Source organism: Homo sapiens, chromosome 8 (genome assembly GCF_000001405.40).
Source record: "Homo sapiens chromosome 8, GRCh38.p14 Primary Assembly".
NCBI lineage: Eukaryota > Metazoa > Chordata > Mammalia > Primates > Hominidae > Homo > Homo sapiens.
In genome coordinates, this window is record NC_000008.11 from 15385042 (window position 1) to 15410949 (window position 25908).

The 25908-nt window shown below is 38.1% G+C and overlaps 1 long non-coding RNA gene across 1 annotated transcript in view; it reads right to left on the reverse strand.

Annotated features, from left to right (window-relative positions):
* Positions 1–231: 231 nt before the first annotated feature.
* The window catches only part of LOC124902059 (uncharacterized), a 59776-nt gene continuing 34099 nt past the window's right edge, over positions 232–25908 (reverse strand). The window contains exon 2 of the long non-coding RNA XR_007061172.1: positions 232–436. This is a non-coding gene — a long non-coding RNA (uncharacterized LOC124902059). The remainder of the gene's footprint in view (positions 437–25908) is intronic.

The following is a 25908-nucleotide window of genomic DNA, read 5'->3' on the forward strand; positions in this document are numbered from 1 at the left end:
ATTGGCTCTCTGTCCCAGCTAAAATGTAGGTTTCAAAAGGACAGAGATTTATTTTTTCTCATCCCATCTACCTAGGGATACTGCCTGGAACGTATTTGAAGCTCACTAATATTTGTTAAACACAGTGTATTTACTTTCAATTTCCCAAAGCCTTGTGTTCAGATAGAATAATGTGTTTATGCCAAGCAGGACTCTTGATTTTAAATGACAGAAGCCCACTTCCAACCAACATGAGTAAGAATGTTCTGTTTATTTATTCTGTTGTGGTTTCCTTCTAGTTTGGTCTAGATTTATGTTAGAAGATAACCCAGGATTTGCACTTTTCTTCAACCACAGTTGAATGCAGGTACCCCCAGATGGCCAACAAAACTTGATCTCTAGCTCTTGACTCTGTTCTCCTCCCTTCTGGCTTGGTTCTCCAGGAGGATCTCTCCACCTGGAAGAGGCATGAACACAAGCAACTTTAGGTTAATATGATCTTTAAGTTCCAGAGATCACAGAGGCACCTCAAAAGCTCCAGACGGGACTCTGTGTGACTCTATTAATGAAGCAGGGAGGTGGGAAGGTATGTCACTCTGTTTAAGCCAGGTTTAGATCACAGTTGCCTCCCTCAGAGCCAGGGTGGGAGTGAGGCACAACTGAACGCTGAAGTCCTGTGGACTGCACAGGCTAGCTCTAGAAAGGGCAAGAGGTGGTTTCCCTAAAATGGAATCCTGGACAGACAAATTTATATCTACTCTATAACTAAAGAAGACCTTAGTAACTTACATTTTTTATTTTTTTACTTTTTAGTGTTTTGTTTGTTTTGGCAGGCGGAAGGGGGAGCTGACATGACATTCAATCCCTGGAAAATCTAACATTTTTTTTTTTTTTTTTGTGACGGAGTCTCGCTCTATCGCGCAGGCTGGAGTGCAGTGGCACGATCTCGGCTCACTGCAAGCTCCGCCTCCCGGGTTCACGCCATTCTCCTGCCTCAGCCTCCTGAGTAGCTGGGACTACAGGCGCCCGCCACCATGCCTGGCTAATTTTTTTGCATTTTTAGTAGAGACGGGGTTTCACCGTGTTAGCCAGGATGGTCTCGATCTCCTGACGTGATCCGCCAGCCTTGGCTTCCCAAAGTGCTAGGATTACAGGCGTGAGCCACCGCGTCTGGCGGAAAATCTAACATTTTTAAAAACTATTCTTATGTGAGTAATACCATTTTCAAATTGGCAACATGCCCATCAGAAACATTTCCAAAATTTCTTAAACCAAAAAATAATATTTTAAAATACATTTTCTTTCAGTTTTAGGGGGTAAAAAAAGCTAAGCATAGACACATATTAAGCAAAAGATGTAGTTTTTTTCGTGGAAAGCAAATTTAACAAAATCACATCTAAATTTTTAGTAACATTCCATTATTATAAAATGTAATTAGCTTTGCGTATGACTTAGTATGATATCAAGTCCTAGATATGCTAGCGGTATTTTTCACTTCCATATGTTTTCTTGTCTGCATGTAATGTAGTTTGGATATTTGTTCCCTCCAAATCTCATGTTGAAATTTGATTCCCAACATTGGAGGTGGGGTCTGGTGGGAGGTGTTTCGTCAAGGGAGGTGAATCCCTCCTGATGGGGGCTTGGTGCTGTCCTTGCAGTGATAAGTGAGGTCTTGCCCTGTTGGTTTTAGCCAAAGCCAATTGTTGAAAACAACCTGGCACTTCCCTTCCCTCTCCTTTCCTTCCTTTCCATGTGATGTCGTCTCCTCTTCACCTTCTGCCATGAGTAGAAACTTCCTGAGGCCCTTACCAGGAGCAGATGCCAGCGCACTGCTTCTTATACGGTCTGCAGAACCATGAGCCAAATAAACCTCTTTTCTTTATAAATTATCCAGCCTCAGGTATTCTTTTATAAGAACATAAATAGGGTAGGACAGCATGTAAGTAGCTAAAATTTAAGGAAGCACATTACTAAATAAGATAATGTTTTGGAGAGCTCAAAAATAATGATTCGGTTTAAAATTACTTAAAATGTGTCTGAATTTCAACAAGTTTTAAAATCAGTTACTCTTTGTATATAATCATTATATGATATAGACAGTACCATCATAATTTTTTAAAATAGTACATAATCCAAAGAATCACAGTTTATCTTCTTATTAGGAATCATAAATGTGTATAATTATTTACATAGCATCACATTATTAAACACATTCAAAAGCACTAATTACTTGTATGTACGTGAATTTTATCACTAATTAATCAAAATATTTATTTTAAACACTTTCAAATTCATTATTTCCGAACATATATAACCACTATAACATAGTAAAAACCATAATTTACTTTGTGTAGGGTTAGCCTACTGATTAATATTTTACGGCAAAAATATAATTATAACTTCAGAATAACTAAATAAGTTTATGTGCCGTAAAGGCTAAATACAAATTATAATTGAATGTAAGTAAAATGATTATGGGAAGAAATCTAATATTATGTAGATATACCTCACTCTGTGCAACAAGTACTTTCCTGGAAAGTTGTATGTTAGTTTAACTATATTTGAACTATATTTTAAAAGATATTTAAGGAATACTGCCAATTGCTATCTTTATAAAATGATTTCTTTAAGTTTGCAGTGTCTTAGAAGAATGAAGAAGTCTTAATTTCTTCTTTTAAATGTCTGAATTTTCTTTTTAAAAGACGCATATGAAGTAGTCTCCTCTCTAAATCACTGAGCTCACAGACTGAAGTTGTATACACCAAGCTCAAAGAGAACAGATGGATTAATCCTGCCTAGGAGATGTGGTTGGCATTTGTAAGTAAGTAGCATGATATTGTCAGATTCTAAAAGAATTACCGATCCACCACACTCCTGATATTTTCAGGTCACTTGTCTAGCTGTCCCTAATATGTGATAACTTGGAAGACCATCCTTAGCATACAGATTTCTGTAAAAATTGACTATAAAGATATGGCATAAGATTCCACATATTTTTTACTATATTTATCTCTTCAACAAAATATGTACTTATCCTCTTCTAACATAGAAATGACATTATTGTAATGGAACAACATGAAGATTATTATGTTGAAATTTCTAAAATTTCTAATTCAAATTAATGAGTTTCATACAGTTAATTCTTAAAGTATACATGTAAGCTTATTAACACTAATTTGTACTCCATGTAATCTTTCTTAATATTTCACCCATTTAAACTGAAACTGCTCTTTAGAAATTCTTGATTTGGATTAAATATATATTTGGATATCTGTAATGTAAATTGTAATGTTACTAATTTTTAAAAGTCAATTTAAATAATTAATTATAAAAATATAAGATTTGGCTGTGTGTGCTGGCTCACATCTGTAATTCTAGCACTTTTGGGAGGCCAAGACAGGCATATCACTTGAGGTCAGGAGTTTGAGACCAGCCTGGCCAACATGGTGAAACCCCATCTCTACTAAAAATACAAAAATTAGCTGGGTATGGTGGCACGGGCCTGTAATTCCAGCTACTCAAGAGGCTGAGGCAGGAGAATAGCTTGAACCCAGGAGGTGGAGGTTGCAGTGAGCCGAGATTTGGCCACTGCACTCCAGCCTGGGTGACAGTGAGAAAAAAAAAAATACAAGATTTACCATTAACACCCTTTTACTTCAAAGAGTTGCCTATTAGCTATGTGATAATTTTTTTTGTCTTTTTTTTGAGATGGAGTCTCGCTCTGTCGCCCAGGCTGGAGTGCAGTGGCGCAATCTCGGCTCACTGCAAGCTCTGCCTCCCGGGTTCCCGCCATTCTCCTGCCTCAGCCTCCCCAGTAGCTGGGACTACAGGCGCCCACCACCTGAAAATAAGAGTCTTGTGATCATTTATGGTTTTGGGATAAAACTGTTCCACCTCAGATCATCAGGCATTAGTTAGATTCTCATAAGGAACGCGCAGCCTAGATTATTTGCATGCATAGTTTACAGTGGGGTTCATGCTCCTATGGGAATCTAATGCCGCTGTGGATCTGACTGGAGGTGGAGCTCAGGCGGTCATGCTGGCTGCCTGTAGCTCACCTCCTACTGTGCGGCCCTTTTCTAACAGGCCAAGGACCCCTGTCAGTCTGCAGCCTGAGGGCTGGGGGAGTCTTGTGCTATGCAGAAGCTCCAAAAGAGTGATAAAGAAAAGTTCCCAACATTGATTGCTAAGAATTTCTTCTTTCTTATTTTTTGTTTTTGTTTTTGTTTTTACGTGTTTGAAAAATACTTGTGGACCTATGTTTCTCCAAATGATCTTTAGGGAAGGGATCATGGCCTGTAATAGCAACATTTTGGCTCAGTAAAATTTCACTGTCTAACACACCAGAAAGGGTACAGCAAGATTCCAGAGAACCCCACTGCCTCCAGCAGCAACCTGCAGACTGTTTTCAGATAGTGCTTGATTTTGATGCAGGAACTACTTAACTATTCTTAAAATTTGGATCCCTTGATTCTGCCCTTCTTTTGGAATTTTTCTCCTCATTTTTGTACGATTGGATGTAATAGTGCCTGGTATATGGTATAGGGTAAAGAGATACTTGCTTAATGAATAACCTTAGTTTGAGTCTCAATCAGGTACTTACCATGTATGTGGTCTTGGACACTTTGTCTAATCCCTTTAAATCTCAGATTATTCATATGTATAATGAAAAGACTAATAGTACTTCGAGGTCTGCTAGCAGCTGCCCCAACAAAATAAGTCTGCAATAATTGCCATAATGAAATACCACAGACTGGGTGGCTTCAAAAACAGAAATTTATTTTTTCACAGATTTGGGATCTCAACATCCAAGATCAAAGTGTCGGCAGGTAAAGAGTTTTTGCACAGCAAAAGGAGATTTCAACAGGGTAAACAGACAACATGCAGGATGACAGAAAATATTTACAAACTATGCATCCAACAAAGGCCTAACATCCTGAGTCTATAAGGAACTTATCAAGTCAACAAGCAAAAAAATAGTAATGGCCGGGCATGGTGGCTCACGCCTGTAATCCCAGCACTTCAGGAGGCTGAGGCGGGCGGATCATGAGGTCAGAAGATTGAAACCATCCTGGCTAACACGGTGAAACCCCGTCTCCACTAAAAATACAAAAAAATTAGCCAAGCCTGGTGGCAGACGCCTGTAGTCCCCGCTACTGGGGAGGCTGAGGCAGGAGAATGGCCTGAACCCGGGAGGTGGAGCTTGCAGTGAGCCGGAGAGCACGCCACTGCACTCCAGCCTGGGTGACAGAGCGAGACTCTGTCTCAAAAAAAAAAGCGAAAAGAAAAAAAAAGAAAAAAATAGTAATAATGATAACCCCATTAAAAAATCAACAAAGGACATGAACAGACACTTCTCAAAAGAAGACATGCAAGAGTCCAACGAATATATGAAAAATTGCACAAAATCACTAATCATCAGAGAAATGCAAATCAAAACCACAATGAGATACCATCTCACACCAGTCAGGATAGTTAACATTAAAAAGTCAAAAAATGACAGGTTGGCAAAACTGAGGAGGAAAGGGAATGCTTATGTACGGTTGGTGGGAATATAAATTAGTTCAGCCATTGTGGAAAGCAGTTGGGAGATTTCTCAAAGAACTAAAATAGAACTACCGTTCAACCTAGCAATCTCATTACTGCATATATACCCAGAGGAAATAAACTGTTCCACCAAAAAGTCAGCTGCACTTGTATGTTTACCACAACACTATTCGCAATAGAAAAGACGTGGAATCAGTGTTGGTGCCCATTAACAGTGGACTGGATTAAAAAAAAAAGTTGTATATATACACCATGGAATACTATACAGCCATAAAAAATGAATCATGTCCTTTGCAGCAACATGGATGCAGCTGGAGGCTATTATCCTAAGAGAATTAACACAGAAACAGAGAACCAAATACCATATGTTCTCGCTTGTAATTTGGAGCTAAACTTTGGGTAAATATGGACATAAAAATGGGAGTAATATATACTAGGGACTCCAAAAAGAGGGAGGGAAGGGGGCAAGGGTTGAAAAACTTCTTATTAGTTACTATGTTCACTATCTGGGTTGACAGGACAATAGAAGGCCAAACCTCAGTGTCATACAATGTCATATAGTACACCCTTGTAACCTGTACATGTACCCCCGAATCTAAAATTAAAATTTTTTTGAAGTGTCAGCAGGTTGGTTTCATTATGAGGCCTCTCTGCTTGGCTTGTGATAGCTATATTTTCCCTTTCTCTTCAAATGGTCATCTTTCTGTCTGTGTGTGTGTCTGTGTTTTAATTTCTTCTTCTTATAAGGACACCCATCATATTGGATTAGGATTCACCCATGAGACCTCATTTTTCCTTAATTCTCTGTTTAAAAGCTCTATCTCTAAATAGAGTCACATTCTGAGGTACTGGGTGTCAGGACTCCAAAATATGCTTTGGTAGGACACACGATTCAACCTGTGAAAGTGGCAGACACCAGAATGAAGTCACTCTTGTCAGACGCAGATAAAATTGGTTAAGAAAAGCATAAGGGAGGAGGTTCATACTTGTATCTCTGAGATAAGAACTGTTTCCAAGAACTTTCTAAAACCCCACAAGAAATCCCTTCATATCATTCATGCATCTCCTGCTTTGCAAGACTTTCACGTTTCATACCCATATATGCATTTCTATGAGAAGGTTTTTTGATTTTTTTTTCCTGAGACAGAGTCTCACTGTGTTGCCCAGGCTGGAGTGCGGTGGCACGATCTCAGCTCACTGCAACCTCTACCTCTCAGGTTCAAGCGATTCTCCTGCCTCAGCTTCCCAAGTAGCTGACATTACAGGCATGCACCACCACTCCCAGCTAATTTTTTGTATTTTTAGTAGAGACGGGGTTTCACCATGTTGGCCAAGCTGGTCTCCAACTTCTGACCTCAAATGATCCACCCACCTCAGCCTCCCAAAGTGCTGGGATTACAGCCATTAGCCACCACTCCTGGCTAAGAAGGTTTATCACTAGACACTCTTTAGCACCACAGTAATTCAGAATAAGATGCTTTGGAAACAACACTTGCCCAGTAATAGTACCTTCACCAATGAACTGTTGTCAGCTCTAGCTCTGAGCCACCAGAACCAATGAACTCTGTTTCCAAGCAGCTTACATTGACTTCTCCTTTTTTGCCAATAAAGCTTCTACTTACTCTTCCCTTACCAGATACATGTGTGGCTTGCCATAATTCATTCTGGATTATAACCCTCTTTTCCTGTTCCCCAATAAATTCAAAATATTTGGAGATAATTTTCTCCACTATCTTTGTTTTTTGGTTGATAAATCCATAGCAAGTTTCTACCTCATTGGCTTGCCACGTAGATTAAATAACACTTGCACAAATTTTAGCACAAGGTCCAGAATGTAGCAAGGACATATTAAAGGTTAATGAGTTTTATTTCTACTGACCTGGAATGTCTCTATCTGAAAATGTAATGTTCTAAGATTTTCAAGTCAAATTCAAGTATCTGGGAAAATAAACTGTAGAAAAACATAAGAAATAATACAATTTTGACCCTGAAGAGATAGATATTGAGAAAAAAAAAATCACAAGCTTACCAAATTGGCAATCTTGAGGTTATACAGAAAAATCACATTCACTTTTATATTTTAGCTACAGCATATTCTTATAAGCAATTTGTAAAAGGTGCAGTGTCTAAACACAGTAGATAGTATAATCTGTATACAAAAGTCATTTTGGGTGGATAATCACTGGAATTATATGCTCATTTTGGCCCACATTCTTCCAGCTTTCAGTCTCCTATTATAATCAATGGAAGCATCCAACAAAACAAGAGATTCAACTAACAAAATCAGGATCTTTGAAAAGCAGGTAGTGAATTTACTCTCTGAATGTTAATATCACTTTAAGTGGAAAAGTGTAAATACCAACGAATAAAGAGAAATTTTTTAAGATACAGAAAGAAAGTTGAAGCAGATCCAGTAGCAAGAGGTGAAAGGTGAATGAGCATAAACTGAAGATGTCAAACTTTTAACCTAAAAACATAGAATTTGTCATTCTACTTAGAAATGGGCTAATCACAGTTTAAGTTTTACCAGTTTCAAACACTTTTATGTTTCTATGGCTTCCAATTTCATAACAGGTGGTGACTAAGTTGTATATTTAGCCACAGAGAAATAAATATTTGTTAACAAGACAAAACAACAAGTCCACCAAGAGCCAAGAGACAGGGCTGCCCTCGAAAACAGGTTTTATTCATACCAGCAATAGCTGCCAACCAGACAAATTAATTTCTAAAACAGATGTAAAGAACAACTATACCCATACTCAGATGAATAACAACAGAATCTATATTTTTAATTTGAATACAAACAATTACATATTGTGATTAATTAAACTGGTAAGGCAGAATCAATGTCCATTTCCCAGTTCACAATGGGCTGGTCATTACTACTCACAGGCTCTAACGCAAGTCTATATTCTCCAGTCATTTAAGCCCAAAATCCATTCTCCCACCACCTAGCTGCCTGATGTTTGCTAACCACAGTGCTTGGTCCTCTTGCGTATCCTGTGGTTCTAAGGTACATCCAACAGGCCCTCTTAGTCTTTTCTATTTGTTTTGCTCTGCACAGCTGTATAATTCCCACAATTCAGGATGTGAGATCAAATAGGATCAGAGATGGGCTACTGAAAGTTTAACAACCGACTGTTGGAGAAGATACTGATTTGTAGATTTGCAAATCTCTGTGGTATATTCTGGCCGATTTCTAGCTATTACCATGGTGTCAATTGGCCCTCTAAACTGCTGGAGATTTAATAATTCACTCTCACCAGTTTGTGTGAGCTGGCTCTGCTATCTTACCAATAAAGGGCAAAATTAGACTTTCCCCCATTTCTCTAGCTGAAATTATTGAGGTACTAAAGAATATTCTAGAAGCTTAGAACTAAAAGGGTCTTTGAAGGTCACTGCCCTACATCTCTTATTTTACAGGTGAAGAAACTGCTGTCCACAGGGGTTAATTGTTACCTTTCCTTAACCTGTATTTTTATGACTGCTGCCTTTGTGGCAATGTGACATAACAGACTGGAGTGGGTCAAATGTTCATTCTTCACAAGACTGGATTAAAGATCAGCCTTTGATTTGCAGCTACTGACACTGTTTGCTGAGTTTTTGCTGTTTATCACTTAAAATAATAAAATTATAAAGTCTTACGCCCTCTTAGGTATGTAATCACTTCATTACTAAGTGACCCTAACTCTAAAAAAGTTATTTTGAAATAGAAGACAGGTAGTGATAACCCAATTTTATAAAAGAGATAGCAGAGGAGAATTCAATAAGCCTAAGTCCAAAAAAAAAAAAAAAAGCCAGTAATATAACTAGAATTAGAACCCTGAATATAAATCTAAGCCTGTAATCTTTTTCCTCCACCATGTAATACCTCATTCTTTCTGCATATGATTTGGCAAAGGTAAGGCAGGAATTGTGCTGTGTAGATTGATTCTACAAAATTGATAACGTTTTTAAAGTACAAGGCAGTTTTCTAGCCACTTTTTTGTTTGTTTGTTTGTTTGGTTAACTGCAATATGCCAACAGAAACCTATCTAGGTGCCATGCAACACCTAGGTAAAAGGGCTCTTCAAGAATTTACAATCTGTTTGGAGAAATGACAAATATATATGAAAAGATAATGATGGCAAAAGACTATAAATAATAAATGTCTATGAATAATACAGATGCAAATGTTAGTGGAGGTCCAAGGAAAAAAAATGATCTTGAGCTTGATGGATGACAAAAGAGCCCAGAAGGTTTGGAATTAGACCCTTGGCAATCTGATCTCCACCTGATTTTCCAGAAAATGATGGGTTTTTTTTTTACCTTCCTCCACAAATAGCTTGAACCAAAGTTATTATCACATTGAAATACCTGGCATTCTCCTTCCTCTGGGTGCATGCTTACTCCATTTCTAACTCTAGAAATGCATTTCCTACTATTCTGCACTGTGGCTATCCTAGCAATTTTCAAAGCTCAGTTTTATCCCTATCTCCTTATAGTTACCCTCCTTATTTAACCATACCAGGGGAAGTCACCTCCAAACCTCTGAAATGCTATGGCTTCATAAGCTTTTCAGGATAATTTTCTTTTCAACGAAACATCAACATTTGCATATGCAAATGTGTACTTTTCTTCAAAGTAAAACCTAGGGAGTATCTACATGTTTATTGCAATGAGGTTACCATTGCTTAAAACTTTATTTTTAATTTTACTTTGAAATTGCCCTCAAAGCAAGTTTTAAAATCTAAAACAAAAGATTACACCTTATTATTTTACCATGAATTGTCATTTGGTTTTTGGTTGTTTCTTAATCCATCATTATTTATGCTTCTATCATTACTTTAGGACTACAGTAGACTACAGTCTTACTGGATTTAACTTTATAATTTCAACTATTGTGGGTAACATAATTTGTGAGTTATATGATATGCAATTTTTCTAAGGCAAAAATTTGAGTAGTAGATGATGTGAGATTATGGCGTGGAAGCAAATTACCCACCTAACTGCCCCACATCCATAGGTCAATGCAGATTTTTGTTATTCCTTGCTCATCACCCTATATATATAAACTCCTGTGAAGTGACTTTTTTTAAATGATTATGAAAATAAACCCAATTATTTATGCTAGCGTAACCAGAATATAGACCTTTGGATTTTTTAATGGAATGCTGAAATTGATGTGAGTCAAATCAGTGACATGAATGAGTATACCATCTATTTTGTATGGAACCAGAAAAGACTTGTGAATCTGTTACAGTCAATGCTCCAACTAGAACAGAATCTATGCAACAAATGACAAATAAAACTTGAAAGAAAGTTGAAATGGTGAGCTATTTCACTTGGACATAGTATTATTCAATAGAAAATTCTAATATTAGTTATTTAGATTTATTTAGATTCATAGTTACATATTCACTGAGGGAAGGAAAAGTCATTTTCTATATTTTATCAAAGAAATTATATATCCATTTCAGTAGTTCTCAACTCCTTTGAGGTAAAGAAAACTTTGGAGAATTGATGAAAGAGGGTTCATACAAGAAAAATATGTCTATATACAGAAAAATCTTAGCATACAATTTTAGGGATTTTATAGATTCGTAAGGATCACTCCAGGACCCCGGATAAATGCACCAGTTATCTCTAAGTTTGGACTTTATATAGAACACAGAGGAAATGCATCAGAAATATCAGCGGGTACTTTATCGTTCCCATCATGGTTAGCACATTGTTTTGTATACCATTATCTGTGTTCAGGAAAACTAACAATTTTCAACCACAATATCTTCTGTATCTAATCAACAAAGATCTACAGGTAATTTTCAGTAAATATTATTCTTTATATTTAGCTAACATACAAAGTGTGATTCTATTAAATTTGATCATTATCCACATAATTACAAGTGGGTAATCCATTATTTCCTTCTCTTTCAAATGCTGATAACCTCTAACCTGAATTCATGACTGTAAGATTAAGTCAGACAGACCCCATAAGAGGTGATTAGCAGCATGCTGTTGTATATTAAATGGTCTTCATCGTTGTTTTATCTACTTGACATGCAGCAACAACACATCAAAGTTATTAAGATTAATGGCCTAATGATGAAAGCTAGAATACACAATTCAGCCTGTGAAGAACACTGCAGTGAAGCATGTGGAAAATATCTGAAACATAAATTCACTAGTGTAGCACTGACCCTCCTGAAAAGATATCTAGTACAAAGTTAATATACATGTGAGATCATGTATATGAAAGTAATGTACACTGTAACTTGCAATGTTAAATTAGGGATTTTTGTCATTGCTTTCTTGCCAATTTAGGAGTTTGTGCTAAATCGTGTGAGTGACAAAATGGAATTCAAACAAGGTGAAATAAATTCTTTAAGTATGAAATGGAACAGGTTCATTTAGGAGCTAACTTCAACAATATTACTCTGCTATACAAACGAAAATATGATCTGGTTAGAAGCCCACGATGATAGTAAATTACAGGTCCTGGTCTGTAGATAGCTTTCCCATTATAGTTGTCAGGTAAAGATAGAATCAGAGAACAAACATGTAACACTTGCTCAGCTGGTAAGTGTTATTAGAAAGTTCTTTCATGTCTCATCTATAAAAATTCTTCAGAGAGAAAATGACTAAGTTTTAAATTCTACAGGAATTTATTTTAATCCACAAAGTATTAGTAATCATGCCCGTTGGTCTTCTGAAACAGTTGAAGTTATAGCATCACGTCACACCCAGGTCAAAAAGCTCGGATATAGATTAAGATAAATTGGTAAGAAACCACTTTAAAACATGGAGGCCATGAAACAGATTTACATTTCTCTCCAAATAGTCTGGAAAGAATAATTGGAATTCACTAAGGGAGACTGTATCACTAGCAAACCCAAAGTCCAAATGTATCTTTGCATTGTAAATATTTCACTGGCTTAAGGATGAAGTAAGCTTCCTTCTGAAAAAAACACAAGGTAACAATGAAATAACCTTTCCTATAACTGCTGTCTTAAGTCTCATAATCAGTAATGAGATCCTGGCAGTATGCTTTTATCATTCTCAATCTGTATAGGATAGACATTTTAACTTGGCATTAGAGTGAATATGATTTTTTAAAAAAGAAATTAGAAGTGGTAAAAACTGTATTTATATTCTTATGTAAGTACACTCTAAAAGACCTATGCCTAGATAAGCCTCTCAACCCTTTCTTTTATTTGAAACAGGAAATCATTTGAGGTTTATCCCTGTAGGCTTGAGGATAACTTTTACCTTGAAGAACTCATCTAAACTCACAGATCTTTTTGAAGACAGTTATTCAGTTACTGCTGCTGATGGAATACAAAAGAAAAGTAAGAGCTCTGAGTAACAGGCTTTCTATATAAAAATAAATAACTCACCTCCAAAAATATTACAGACATATTCTTGATTAATATTCTACACTATTCATATTTCTGCAATTGGAAGGAGATTAAGAGAAAGCAAATTTTCCATTGTTGTAAATACCAGTGCCCTCTGAGAAACCTACTAAATATCCACTGTACAGTAACTGATGGTAATTTGAGTTTCTCATCCTGAAGCTGTTTTGGGATGAAGGGACTGAGGCCAGCTCACAGTGGGCATAAACCCTTCATCTGAGTTCCAGTTCAGTAGCTTCAAGTGCCCACTGAGTCTTCATTTCCTGGCATGAACTATCAACCCCATATCAACACTATCAACCCCATATCATTATTTCTAAAAAAAAACGCAGTCATCTTTCAAGAAGCAACAGTGGGCTGGGCATGGTAACTCACACCTGTAATCCCAGCACTTTGGAAGGCCGAGGCAGGCAGATCACTTGAGGTCAGGAGTTCAAGACCAACCTGGCCACAGCAAAACCCCATCTCTATTAAGAATACAAGAATTAGCTGGGTGTGGTGGCACATGCCTGTAATCCTAGCTGCTGAAGAGGCTGAGGCAGGAGAACTGCTCGAACTGAGGAGGTGGAGGAGGTTGCAGTGAGCTGAGACTGTGCCAATGGACTCCAGCCTTAGCAGCAGAGTGAGACTCTGTCTCAAAAAAAAAAAAAAAAAAAAAAAAAAAAAAAGCACCAGCAGAAGCGACATCTTACCCAGGGAGCTTTTACTGCCCCTACTATCCAGTTTGATTTAATAACTCACTTGTTACGTATCCTATAGTCATTATAAAACCATTTTGCCATTATTTGCTAAAATTTTTGTTTCTTTTATATAACCATGAACTTCTTGAGAATGGCTAATATATCTTACTCAAGGTACTCAAGTTCTTATTTTAGTACCTGTTAGAGCACTTCAAAAACATTGGTTAAAAGAATGAATTGAGTAAATAAGTTGTTGAATGAGGGAGGAGGTGAGGATGACAGTAAGCCAGTGAATGACTTGTCAGTATTTGAAATAATATCTTACCAAAATATCCACTGCAGATTTTATTTTATGGGATTTCAATTGAACAATGATATAGTTTGGCTTTTTCCCCACCCAAACCTCATCTTTAATTGTAACTCCTGAAGTTCCCATGTGTTGTGGGAGGAGTTCGGTGGGAGGCGATTGAATTATGGGGGTGGGTCTTTCCCATGCTGTTCTCCTGATACTGAATGAGTCTCACGAGATCTGATGGTTTTAAAAATTAATGTTTCCCTGCACAAGCTCTCTCTTTGCCTGCTGCCATCCCCGTAAGATGTGACTTGCTCCTCCTTGCCTTCCACCATGATTGTGAGGCCTCCCCAGCCATGCGGAACTACAAGTCAAATAAACCTCTTTTATAAATTGTCCATTGTCGGGTATATCTTTATCAACAATGAGAAAATGGACTAATACAAATTGTAAATATCCCCTTAATTCAGGACTATTAAGCTCACAATTCTGTCTTCATTCTCTCCCCAGTTTTTTTCTCCCATCTGCCAGTCTGGCATAATTACAGTTTCTACCTCAGGGTAGTGAAAATTAATTGGCTTGTAAATAATGATAAATTAGTCAATGTTCATAAATTGCTCTCAAGATGAAAAGCACTCCATCACCTCTAAGCATTTTTATTTATTAGAAAATAAATTGATGCATTATCGGTATCTGGACCATACTTGTGATTTATGCTATAAACATAATTAAGCTTTTTCTCTAGTTCTGAAATCTAGTTCTGCCTTTCATTCTGGGATGTAGACCCTTATATCACTGTCAATGTGCTAAGATGGATGATGAAATTCAATGCCACATACTAAGCCTGAATCAATGTTGTGGATTTTAGAATTTAGAGCAGTTGGCATAGCCAGGGTCTCATTCTGACAGTCTGGTCTAAGTTTTACCCTCTATCTTGGAAGGCCTAGTGCTGATTGAGCTAAGGCAGAGTTTTGTTGAAGGCTGGTTCTGGAAGTATGTTACTTTGAGCTCAGGATGCCTCTGGAGATATTCATATCCAAGGATCTTGCAAAACCAAAACATCATGCCCAGAAGCAAATGCAGGATTTGCAGAAGGTCCTTTATCTAAGGGGGATCAGACACCTGTTTCAAAGGAGACCACATCTAAAGGATATATAACAATATAAAGCTAGATGTGGAGACATATGCCAGAGAGTGAGAGATGTATAAAGTTCCCAATTTTTTCCTTGATAAATGCAGTTGTATATTCTATGTGTTTGATGATAAACTGTAATTTCTCTCATGGAATTGAGGCACTAGATAAACTTACTTGGCAAACCTTTGTTGCTTTCCCTCCTCCCATTATTTTGTGTTATTTTAGTGATTCACTAAATCTCGAAGTCTTGGGAAACAACACAATACTTCATCTGATATTCACAACTATGATTCTGTCCACTTTGCGGATGAAGAAACAATCTTTGAGAGACTTTTAAAGATCTATGTCAAAATGGAGGCATTTAGTCCATAGCAGAGCTGGGTCTGAAAACCATGAATGGCTTAAATCAATATTCCTGCTCATAACTACTATGTTACATAACTACTATGTATCTCTTTATGACAGTAATAAAAGGCCAGGCATAATAAGCATCAAAGGCCAAGATTGAGTGGAACAGGGATTCTCAATACAACTTATAAAAATCTTTAAACATGTTCCTACTCCAGTTTCCTTAAACTCATTTTGGAGTTATAAAGAGACTGCAATTAAAGAGATTAAAAATGTGGACTCTACATCAGTGGTCTAGCATTGGTAAAGCAGCTTTCGTAGCTTCTGGGGGGGTACTTTGTAGACAGACATCAGCTACCTAGCAGATCCCATGTGGTCAACACAAACAGAAGCAGTAATGGAGCCACCTTTAATGAGCACCAGCCGAAGCAATATTGTCTTTGCAGGGCATCTTTGAAGTGTGGCTTCAAAGCAACCTCTTTGGGCTCCAAGATGAGACTGGAGATAAGGGGGAAATGTCTAACACTATGGCAAAGCCAAGAGGACTTTTTCACAAAATATATATGAGGTAAACCCTAAAATTACTTGACAAGAATTTTTTTTGGATATCAGTGTTCTCATAAAATGAATTATTATGTCTGAGCTAGGAAATTATGACATTTGTGTCATGACTGTAGTTACTACAACTATTCTAGTTTTTATTATTTTTAAAGTTTCTTCCAGATCTTATACTCTGCAATTTTTGGATATAATATTTTATATTATTAGTTCCTTCTACTCAAAATAATCACATTGAGTTGGAATCTCCAAGTCAAGAAAAGCAGACATCATGACAATGTTAGTGTACAAGGAGTTCAAAAAATAAAGGAATAACCACGTTTGAATTTTTTTAAGTACTGATACTAAACAATAAACTGAAACGTGAGTTACCAACAGCTTCTTGTTGTTTTCCACTCTGAAAGACTAAGAAACTTTAGAATGCTTAATTGCTTCCTATGTATTAAAAGTTATGTAATTTCACATCTAGAATCATTCTATGTGAAGTCTAAGATGATCAAGAATAGGTATTAAAGCCATTTGATGACCCAACCAGCCCATGATTTTATCATTTTTTTCTCAAGAAGTGTGATGTATGCAGCTCTGTGTGGCTTCTAAGGGCAAGCTGATACCCAAAAGAAAATTACCTTTGCTGATCCTATGTCTTTCAACCACTTTTAAACCAATTTTATCATTGGCTTATAGCCAGTAAAATTAATCATCTTCATTATAACCCCGTATATAAAATGCAACTCTCTAAGCCTTTCCACTTGATGCACTTGATCCTACTCTTTCATTCCTGCTCAGTTCCTATATCAGCCTGCTTTTACAGATCAGTTCTTCCAGGCAAAAGAGTCTGAGGTGGCGAATTGCATGCAGGAGGTTTATAAGGTGGAGCTCTTCAGAGAAAGGTGAAAGAGAAGCAGAATGGAGTGGAGGGAGAGGTTGAACTATAGTACTGTTGCAATGGAGTTCTCAGCAGATCTTATTGGGATCTATGGAATTAGAAGGGCTCTTCAGAGTTGTCCTGAATCAAAGTAAGGGGTCTGTAATCTTGTACCCTGCATTGACTAGTCATTGGGTGCAAGGGTGCTACCATACTAAAGCAGCATCCTTCAGTGAGGACAATTTCAGGAGAGAAATTCAGCTCTGAGTAGTCAGTAGACAACACTCCTGGAAGCTGGGGAAATAAGAGGCCTGGTCCTGAAGGGGAACCCTGGACAGCACATCACAGCATCCCCTACAACCTGGCTTCTAAGCTTCCTGCCTTTGTGTCCAGTGGTCAAGCCTCTCCTTCTTCTTGGTTTCCTCATTGCGATCTGATGTACTGTCTTAGACACTGCTTTGGTCTCATCCTCTGGTTCTTCTTTTTCTTCTTTTTTTTTTTTTTTTTTTTTGTTGCTATTCTAGATTGCAGAATGTACCTGCTATATTCAAAGATAAGCTAGAACAATATGACTGGGGCTTAAAAAGTTAAGGCAGAGTTGCCAATCCTCCTGCAGAGTAATTCCTCTACATTCCACTTCAAGGATTATGCATAATTAAATTGAAGGCGTTTGACTTTTCTGCCTTTATGTAACTGCCTTTCTACCTCCCTTCACTACCTCTTTACTGCAACGAAAGAAGCATTTCTGCCTCCAGGTCTTGGCTCAAGTTTTTACTTTCACGGTGATGTCCTTGTCCTATATTTTTGTCTAAGTATATTGCCACAGTTGAGACATTCCTCTGCCTTTAACATTTCTCCAACTTTCTTGCCTCCTTCAGACTCTTTTAGCACACAACATCTCTGTCACTCATTACACATTTAATAATATACCTTTGACTTTACCTTTTTATGCTAACTGTTCTTCATGTTAATAGCCATGAATTTCTTACGCTTAAAAAAAAGTACTCAATGCCAAACACAGCATCTTTCCTATTGCAGGTTTTAGTGGGGGCTGTTCATCTCTCACTTTATTTAGTTTCCTTGACTCTTATTTATATTTTTGCTCAAATATTACCTTTCATAAAGAGACATTCTCTGACCACCTAATGAAAGTAATTCCAATCATACTCTGCTGTTCCACCATAACTCTCTACCTCCTTATGATGACACCTTTTTCTTCATAGCCTCTCGTCTCCTCACTATAGTCCTCCCAGTGCCAAGAAGTATACATAGTATGAGATAAATGCAATAAATATTTATTAATGAAATCACTTATTAACTGATATTTATTAACTACTCTGTGTGTGACACAGTGTTTACTAAGTGAAAAGTAAAGAGTACAATAGTTATGTTTCCTGCCCTCAGGTAGGATATAGTCCAGTTATTGAAACAAGCATTAATCAAAAAATAGTTTATATTTTCAAGTAACTAGAAGAGAGGATATCGAATGTTCCCAACACAAAGAAATGATAAATGTTTGAGGTGATGGATATGCTAATTACCCAGCTCTGATTACTGTACTGTTTATGTACAGAAACATTACTGTGCACCCCATAAGTATGTATAATCATTATGTATCAATTCAAAAATAAATTTTAAAGTCACACAAATAAATATATAAAGCCAATACTTTATTTTGGATGTTCCAACCGACATCTAGATGATACTTCTGTGCAACCCTTCAGATTCCTGGTGGAACACGATCCAACTCCAATGAGTCCAAAGACTTTAAAGCAAAGAATACTTCCAGAGGCATGGAAAGTGCTAAGGTAATATACAAAGAACTTGAGATGCTTGGAGACCACCAAGAGCAGAAAGCCATTGCTACCCTTAAGGGTAAAGGGTTAAGGGGAAGAAATAGCATTATTGGAACCCTCTGAGTACTCAAGCCATGGCAAAGGGCCACACAGCAGGTGCAGTAATCAAGAAGAGATGGTGGCCACTGCAACAAAACAGCTGAACAGGAAGTCAGGAAGATGTTTCTCAGCCTCCCTCTCTTACCCTCCTCCGTTCTACTGCTAGGGCATCCCACTGGTCAAATCCAACTGGAACCCAGGTGGCATGAGAGTATGGATAATTATCTTAGTCTGTTCAGCTACTATAACACAATTCCATAGACTGGGTAATTTATAAACAACAGAAATTTCTCACAGTTCTAGAGGCTGGGAAGTTCAAGATCAAGGCGCCAGCAGGTTCTGTGTCTGCGAAGAACCTGTTTCTCTTTACAGCACCTTCTTGCTATGTCTTCACATGGTGGAAGGGGAAGCAAGCCCCCTCCAACCCCTTTTAAAAGGGTGCTAATCCCATTCATAAGAACAGAGTTCTCATTACCTAATCACCTCCCAAAGGCCCACCTCTTAATACTATTGTATTGAGGATTAAGTTTCAACATATGAATTTGGGGGGGACACCATTATTCAGACCATAGCAGTGATGAAGTCCCTAGGTGTCCATGTCCTAGGATGCACAACAGGGTACAGGAAGGTGGAGATTGGATTTGAGTGTGTGTGTGGAATGGTGGGGGGGTGGGAGGAGGCCTGGAACAGAAAATATCCAGGAAGACTTGGAAGGGCTGAAAAATATAGTACTAGAAATTGATATGCCCCCCTCCCAATCCTATCACTCAGGAGTACAATGTTAGCACCTTGACAAATACCCTATAAAAGACAAACTCGAGTCACTTGTTTCACACAGTTTTAATGTTTAATTGCGTAAGTTTTATTCTCATAATTTGAGTACTTATTCATGATCCTGAAATGTTCTACTAATAAGCGTTTTCTGACCAGAAGGAAAAGGTTTTTGTTTGTTTGTTTGTTTGATTTTTTTTTTTTTTTTTTTTTTTTGAAATAGAGTCTTGCTCTGTCACCCAGGCTAGAGTGCAGTGGCACGATCAAGGCTCCCTGCGACCTCCGCCTCCCAGGTTGAAGCAATTCTCCTGTCTTGGGTTTCCAAGTAGCTGGGATAACAGGCACATGCCACCACGCCCAGTTAATTTTTTTTTTTTAATTTTTAGTAGAGATAGGGTTTCACCATATTGGCCAGGCTGATCTCAAACTCCTGACTTCAGATGATCCACTCACCTCGGCCTCCCAAAGTGCTGGGATTACAGGTGTGAGCCACCACATCTGGGTGTATTTTCTCTTAAATCTAGAAAATTCTTTTTCCCCCAGAGAATTTCATGGTGAAATAATTGACTGATTATGATTCTGTGGAAAGAATAAAAAACTAGTCCCAAAATAATCATTATGTAGAAACTTCTATGTTAAAAACAGCAAATATTAAAGGTGATATTGTACTGAATAATTTAAATAAGGGTTATTATGTTACATATATTTTTCCAAGTCTCTGTGTTATTTCTGACAGTTTATTGGAACAGGAGGTTTCATTCTTCCTCTAAGTCCCTGTGTCAGTTATTAAGCCATTGTCTCTGAGCTCTGTACCTACCCATTTGTATTCTGCTTTGCAATGCTCAGGCTGGAAATTCTTCAAGCTACACTTTTTCTTTAAAGTTGTTAAACTCTGCCATTAGGATGAAGATGAAAAGGCAGATAAAGGGAGAGAGACCCATTAGCGCTTCCTGTCTCTATCAGCATCATCCCAGCAGTCACAGATCATTCCAGTAGCAGTCGGTTCCAGTTTTCACCCTTTTGCTCACTCCAAGACCAGCATCCTTGTAACTCTTAAGAGATACCAGCACCAATCAAACAGCATAATCTCCCTGGAGAGGTGAGTCTCAGATTCAGAAAGCCCCTCCTCTAAGCTTCTAGATTCCAGTAACTCCAACTTCTTCCCTCTGTTTCCAACCCTGAGAATGGCAGTTGCCACCCGTATTTGCTATTGCTATGGTTTGAAATGTTTGTTTTTCTTTCTTTTTTTTTTTTTTTTGAGACAGAGTCTCACTCTGCCACCCAGGCTGGAGTGCAATGCAGTGGCACCATCTCGGCTCACTGCAAGCTCCGCCTCCTGGGTTCACGCCATTCTCCTGCCTCAGCCTCCCGGGTAGCTGGGACTACAGGCATCCGCCACCACGCCCGGCTAGTTTTTTGTATTTTTAGTAGAGACGGGGTTTCACCGTGTTAGCCAGGATGATCTGCATCTCCTGACCTCGTGATCCGCCCACCTCGGCCTCCCAAAGTGCTGGGATTACAGGCGTGAGCCACTGCGCCGGGCCTGAAATGTTTGTTTTTCAGTGCCGTAAAGAAATAGCACTTGAACATTAATTTATTTAGTAAGGCCATTTTTACTTCCTGCAGAAAGGGTACACTTGCCAGCAGTTTTGCCAGCAGACTACACGGAACAAAGGAGACAGGGTCATTTATAACCTGACGCGTCCACCCTGTGCTGTGTCCGGTTTCCATTGGCTGGAATGGGACCTCACATTCTGTATTTGTCCCTATTGGCTAGCAACTTAGAACTTTTTAAAAGAGGCAAAGGTAGAGGAGAACAAAGGAAGGAGGAAGTAACTTGTGGAATGCTGAGAGAGGTAAAAACACTTTTAAATAAGGAAGAGGAACAGGCTATGATCTAATGCTTCCTTGGATCAGTATAAGCAAATATTTAGGCTAAATTGTGGGAGCTAAGAACATAAAGTATATTGATTTCTTTATTACGGCTAGCACATATTTAAGAATGTTAGCACAGGTCTTTGAATAAATTTTGCTTCTAAGAGAAGTTACTATTTATTCCTAATTAGACAGGAAGGAAAGTCTTTGAAGAGGAACCTCTACTTTACTTTTTACACTATGCTACCTTATTGCTCCCTTTTCACTTCTTCAGTTCCTCATAGATGGTTAACCAATTCCCTGTATTAAATCCTTTCTTAAAATAACTTGTGTGATTTGTGTTTTCCTAACTGGACTTAACTAGACAGATGTGTGAAAGGAAAATATTTGGCGTTCCCCAAAATCACTAAGCTAAATGGAAAATTCAAGCTGGGAACTGCTCAGGGCAAATCTGTCTCCTATTGTATTCAAAGTCATCCCTCTGCTCAATGAGATGGATGCATATTCTGATTGCCTCCTTTGGAAAGGTGTATCAGAAGGTCAAGAGAATGCAACCATTTGTCTCTCACCCACCTGTGACCTGGAAGCCCCCTCCCTGCTTTGAGTTGTAATTCTTATAGCTATTGATTGAAGTCTCATGTCTCCCTAAAATATATAAAACCAAGCTGTGCCCCAACCACCTCGGGCACATGTCATCAGGACTTCCTCATGCTGTGTCACGGGCGTGTCCTTAACCTTGGCAAAATAAACTTTCTAAATTAACTGAGACCTGTCTCAAATTTTGGGGGTTCACAGATGCAATCGTCACTGTGCCATTACCCTCATCTCCCTTCCCTAACTCAACCCAACCCATATTTTTTAAGACGGGAGCAGTAATTGTTATAGCTATAAATGTACCATTTCATATAGCTTGAGAATCCCAAAGAAATCCAGAAACCAAGTTTATTTGTGCATTGTCTATGTGTCAGGTGTTGTCCTCAGTGTGATAGGAAGTATCTGTGTCATCACAAACCCACAATCTTGTAGGGAAGGCAAATTTTAAAAGTGTTGTGGGGGTGTGGAATAAGCTACCATGAAATGCAAAGTCACGTATATCCATGACATGTGATATTGAAGAAAGAAGTGCTTCATGCAGGAGGCAGGGCTTGACCTTTCTCAATGGATGCAAGAAGGTAATCAAAAGATTGAAAAACCAGAGGGTATTATGAGCAGAAGAACAATTTGAGACAAAAGGTGGAAGCAATACTTAAAATGGAAATAACATTTTTATTAATTCATTTGCTCCATTGATTCATCTACTCATTTATCTCACACATTTTTATGTACCTTTTCTATGCGAGGCCTCTGAGATTAATGCGAGGCCCTGAGATACACTGGTGAACCAAAACAGATATACCTCTGCCCCTGTGAGGTTCATATTCCAGTAGGAGAAACAAAGTTAATCAAATAATCATGTTCACAAACGTGTAATTGTCATTGTGCTGTGTCCCATAAAGAAAGGTTTATAGAGATATGGGAAGTTGGAATTGATGTAATGAAGCAAAAAGGAGAGGGAATAGTCTTCCAGGTCAAGCACTTGGCATGTGTGAAGAGGCATGGGGAGAAGGAGAAGCAGCTACAAGAGCCTGGAAGAGAAGCTGATGCCTGGATGGAGTGGGGAGCAGGGATCCTTAGGTGCTATGGAATGACTTCCATTGTTATCTTACTATGCTCATATTGCAGTTTTGCCATTTAAAGTAATTGCAAAAGCTGCAATTACTTTTGCGCCAACCTAATAATTGGAAGCACTGGAACTCAATGGATACAGGAAACCAATGAAAAACAGGAAGTAGCCCTTGGTCAGGGTTTCAGCCCCAGAAAATAATATTCCAGGCCACAAGCTGAGAAAGCAGAGAAGATGACTCCCAACCCCTGTGTGCTATGGGGGAATGTTGCTCACTAATGATTCCACAGGGGAGAAAGAAACAGAAGCAGAATTTGCTGTGGAAAGGAGGGACTACCTCTCTCCAGCAGGACTTTTTAATTTCACGCACAGAGTAAAGCCATGCTCGACTCCTTTGCTGACGTATCCTGTTGGATTCCAAAATACATGAATTTATGAAGTAAATTCATATAACAGATGAGTTAGTTATAGAAAATGGTTTGAGCATTTGGCATAATTAGTGTAAATATTGCATGCAATATAAAAATAATCTTATACCTTCTTTATTTAAAACAGGTTTAATTAATGTCAAGTGCTGTAACAAGTGGTAATCTCTGCTCCTTGCTTCTCTCCTCACACTGTGTGGAAATGCTCCCTGCTGTCTTGTTTACCTGCAGACTTTAGAGTCTAAATGCACAGGAGGGAGTTTATATTTTATTTCAAAACCTTTCTCTTTTCTTTCCTTCAGAGATGGCTTATTTCTTTCAGCAAGAGAAACTATTCCCAAAGCCCCTTGAAAATTCCTTTCTTGTAGACAAGTTCTGCGTCTTGCACTCCTTGCAATGACCTACACGGACCCACTCCAGGTTGACGGGCCTAACCATCAGGAGCAGGAATGTAGGTCATCTTTCTTGGCCACTACTTAACAACTGGACTCCTTTCTCCTCTCATTCTGCCTTTAGATTGACTCCACAGGGATCCTAAACAAGATAAGAAACTGGTCGGGGTGTCAAAAGCAAATGTCAAGAAAACAGAGAGAATTGTATTAGGCTTACAAAATAGCCAGGAGGGATTCTTCTGTGAGCTGCCTGCCTTCCTTCTGAATGAAAAGGCATACCTATTTGGCATCCTCAGCTTTACATGGGCAAAGGGGCTAAAATTATGGAGGAAAGTGTCTCTCTGTCTGTTAAACATTGATATCATATTTTATATTTTCTAAAACAGTACATTCATTTTCTTAGTGATCTGCAATACAGTATTTTAAGACAGATAATGGAGAAGTTTTCAGAGTCGCTCTTCAAATAAAATTCACTTTATCTCTTGGCTGGTGGTTGAATACCGTCACAGAAAGTAATGTGTTATATTCCAGTTTCTTGTAGTATTCAGGAAAATAGTTAACGTATTTACCAGGTAATAGGGCATTAACAGCATGAATGATTGACTGGGAAAGGCCAGTTACTTAACATTGCCGTACCAAAGATTTAGAGAAGTGTTATCTGCCTGGTTTTTCTATCTTGTTTAACAGTTTTGTTAAATGAAAAATTTAGGACAAATTAAATTTAACAGCATTTAATTGATCAAAGAACAATTCACAAATACACCAGCCCCTAGAACCAAAATAGGTTCAGGGCAACTCCAGGGCTGCCACATGGTCAGATAATAGTTACAGACAGAAAAAGGAAAGTCATATACAGAAAATAGAAGTAAGGTACAGAAACAGCTGGGTTGGTTACAGCACACCATTTGTCTTATTTTAACTCGGTTGGAACAGTTAGCTGCCTGTGATTGGACAAAACTCTGTGATTGGCACAAGAGTAGGTTACAGTCGGCTTCTACCTCCAGTTAACTCACAATTCACTATGTTTGCAGAAATCTTTAGGCCAAATCTAAAATATTTAACAAGGCATCTTTAGGCTAAAGTTAATTTAACAGTTTCAAACTACAGTCTTCACAAATCAGAAAGATCCAGACAAACACGAAAATCCGTTTAGATCAGAGAATTTCAATTCCAGGGTCCTTAATTTTATGAGATTATTTCTGAGCGTTATAAATCTGAAATGACTGGATGGTTTCTTTGGGAGTAATGTTAGTACTTCAAGGGTTACCTGCTGTTTCAAAAATCTATTTTCCTTTTTATTTAAACATGAAGAAAAATATTGGCATCAAAAAGTACTTTTCTTATAGTGAAGTTTCATGTTAGTACAAAATACTTTGATTTGCTTAAAAATCATTTAATAATTCCAAATTAAAATATATTCATAATTTATGGGGACTTTTTTTAACTTACACACTGCAGCTAATCCTGATTTGTCCTAAATATAATTTATGGACATTTAGACTTTAAAATGTGTATTTGGGGTTGTGAAATTTGCTTACTATTTTTATAGAGAACTCAAGTGTCTGATTTAAAACCAAAATACTGCAAAGGAGTGAATCAAAGCTGAAGATGCTTTTAATTGCTTCTATGAAAAGCTCCCTGGGCTCGGTTAAAAAAAAAAAAAAGATAATAAAAAATGCATTCATGGTTAATTCTCTGTAACGTTAAAGCTTTCACAAATGAAGCAGGAATCCAGATGTCTGTGCCCTGAAACTACAGGGAACCACAGCAGGGAAAAGGAATGGTCCTTACTGTGGACACCTCAATTCTCCCACCATGTGTCAGCCTTAGGAAACTGGAAAATTTTGGGCTGGCCACAGTGGCTCACGCCTGTAATCCCAGCACTTTGGGAGGCCAGGTGGGTGGACCACCGGAGGTCAGGAGTTGGAGACCAGCCTGACCAACATAGTGAAACCCCCTCTTTACTAAAAATACAAAATTAGACAGGCATGGTGGTGGGTTCCTGTAATCCCAGCTACTAGGGAGGCTAAGGCAATAGAATCCTTTGAACCCAGGGGGCAGAGATTTCAGTGAGCCAAGATCGCGCCAT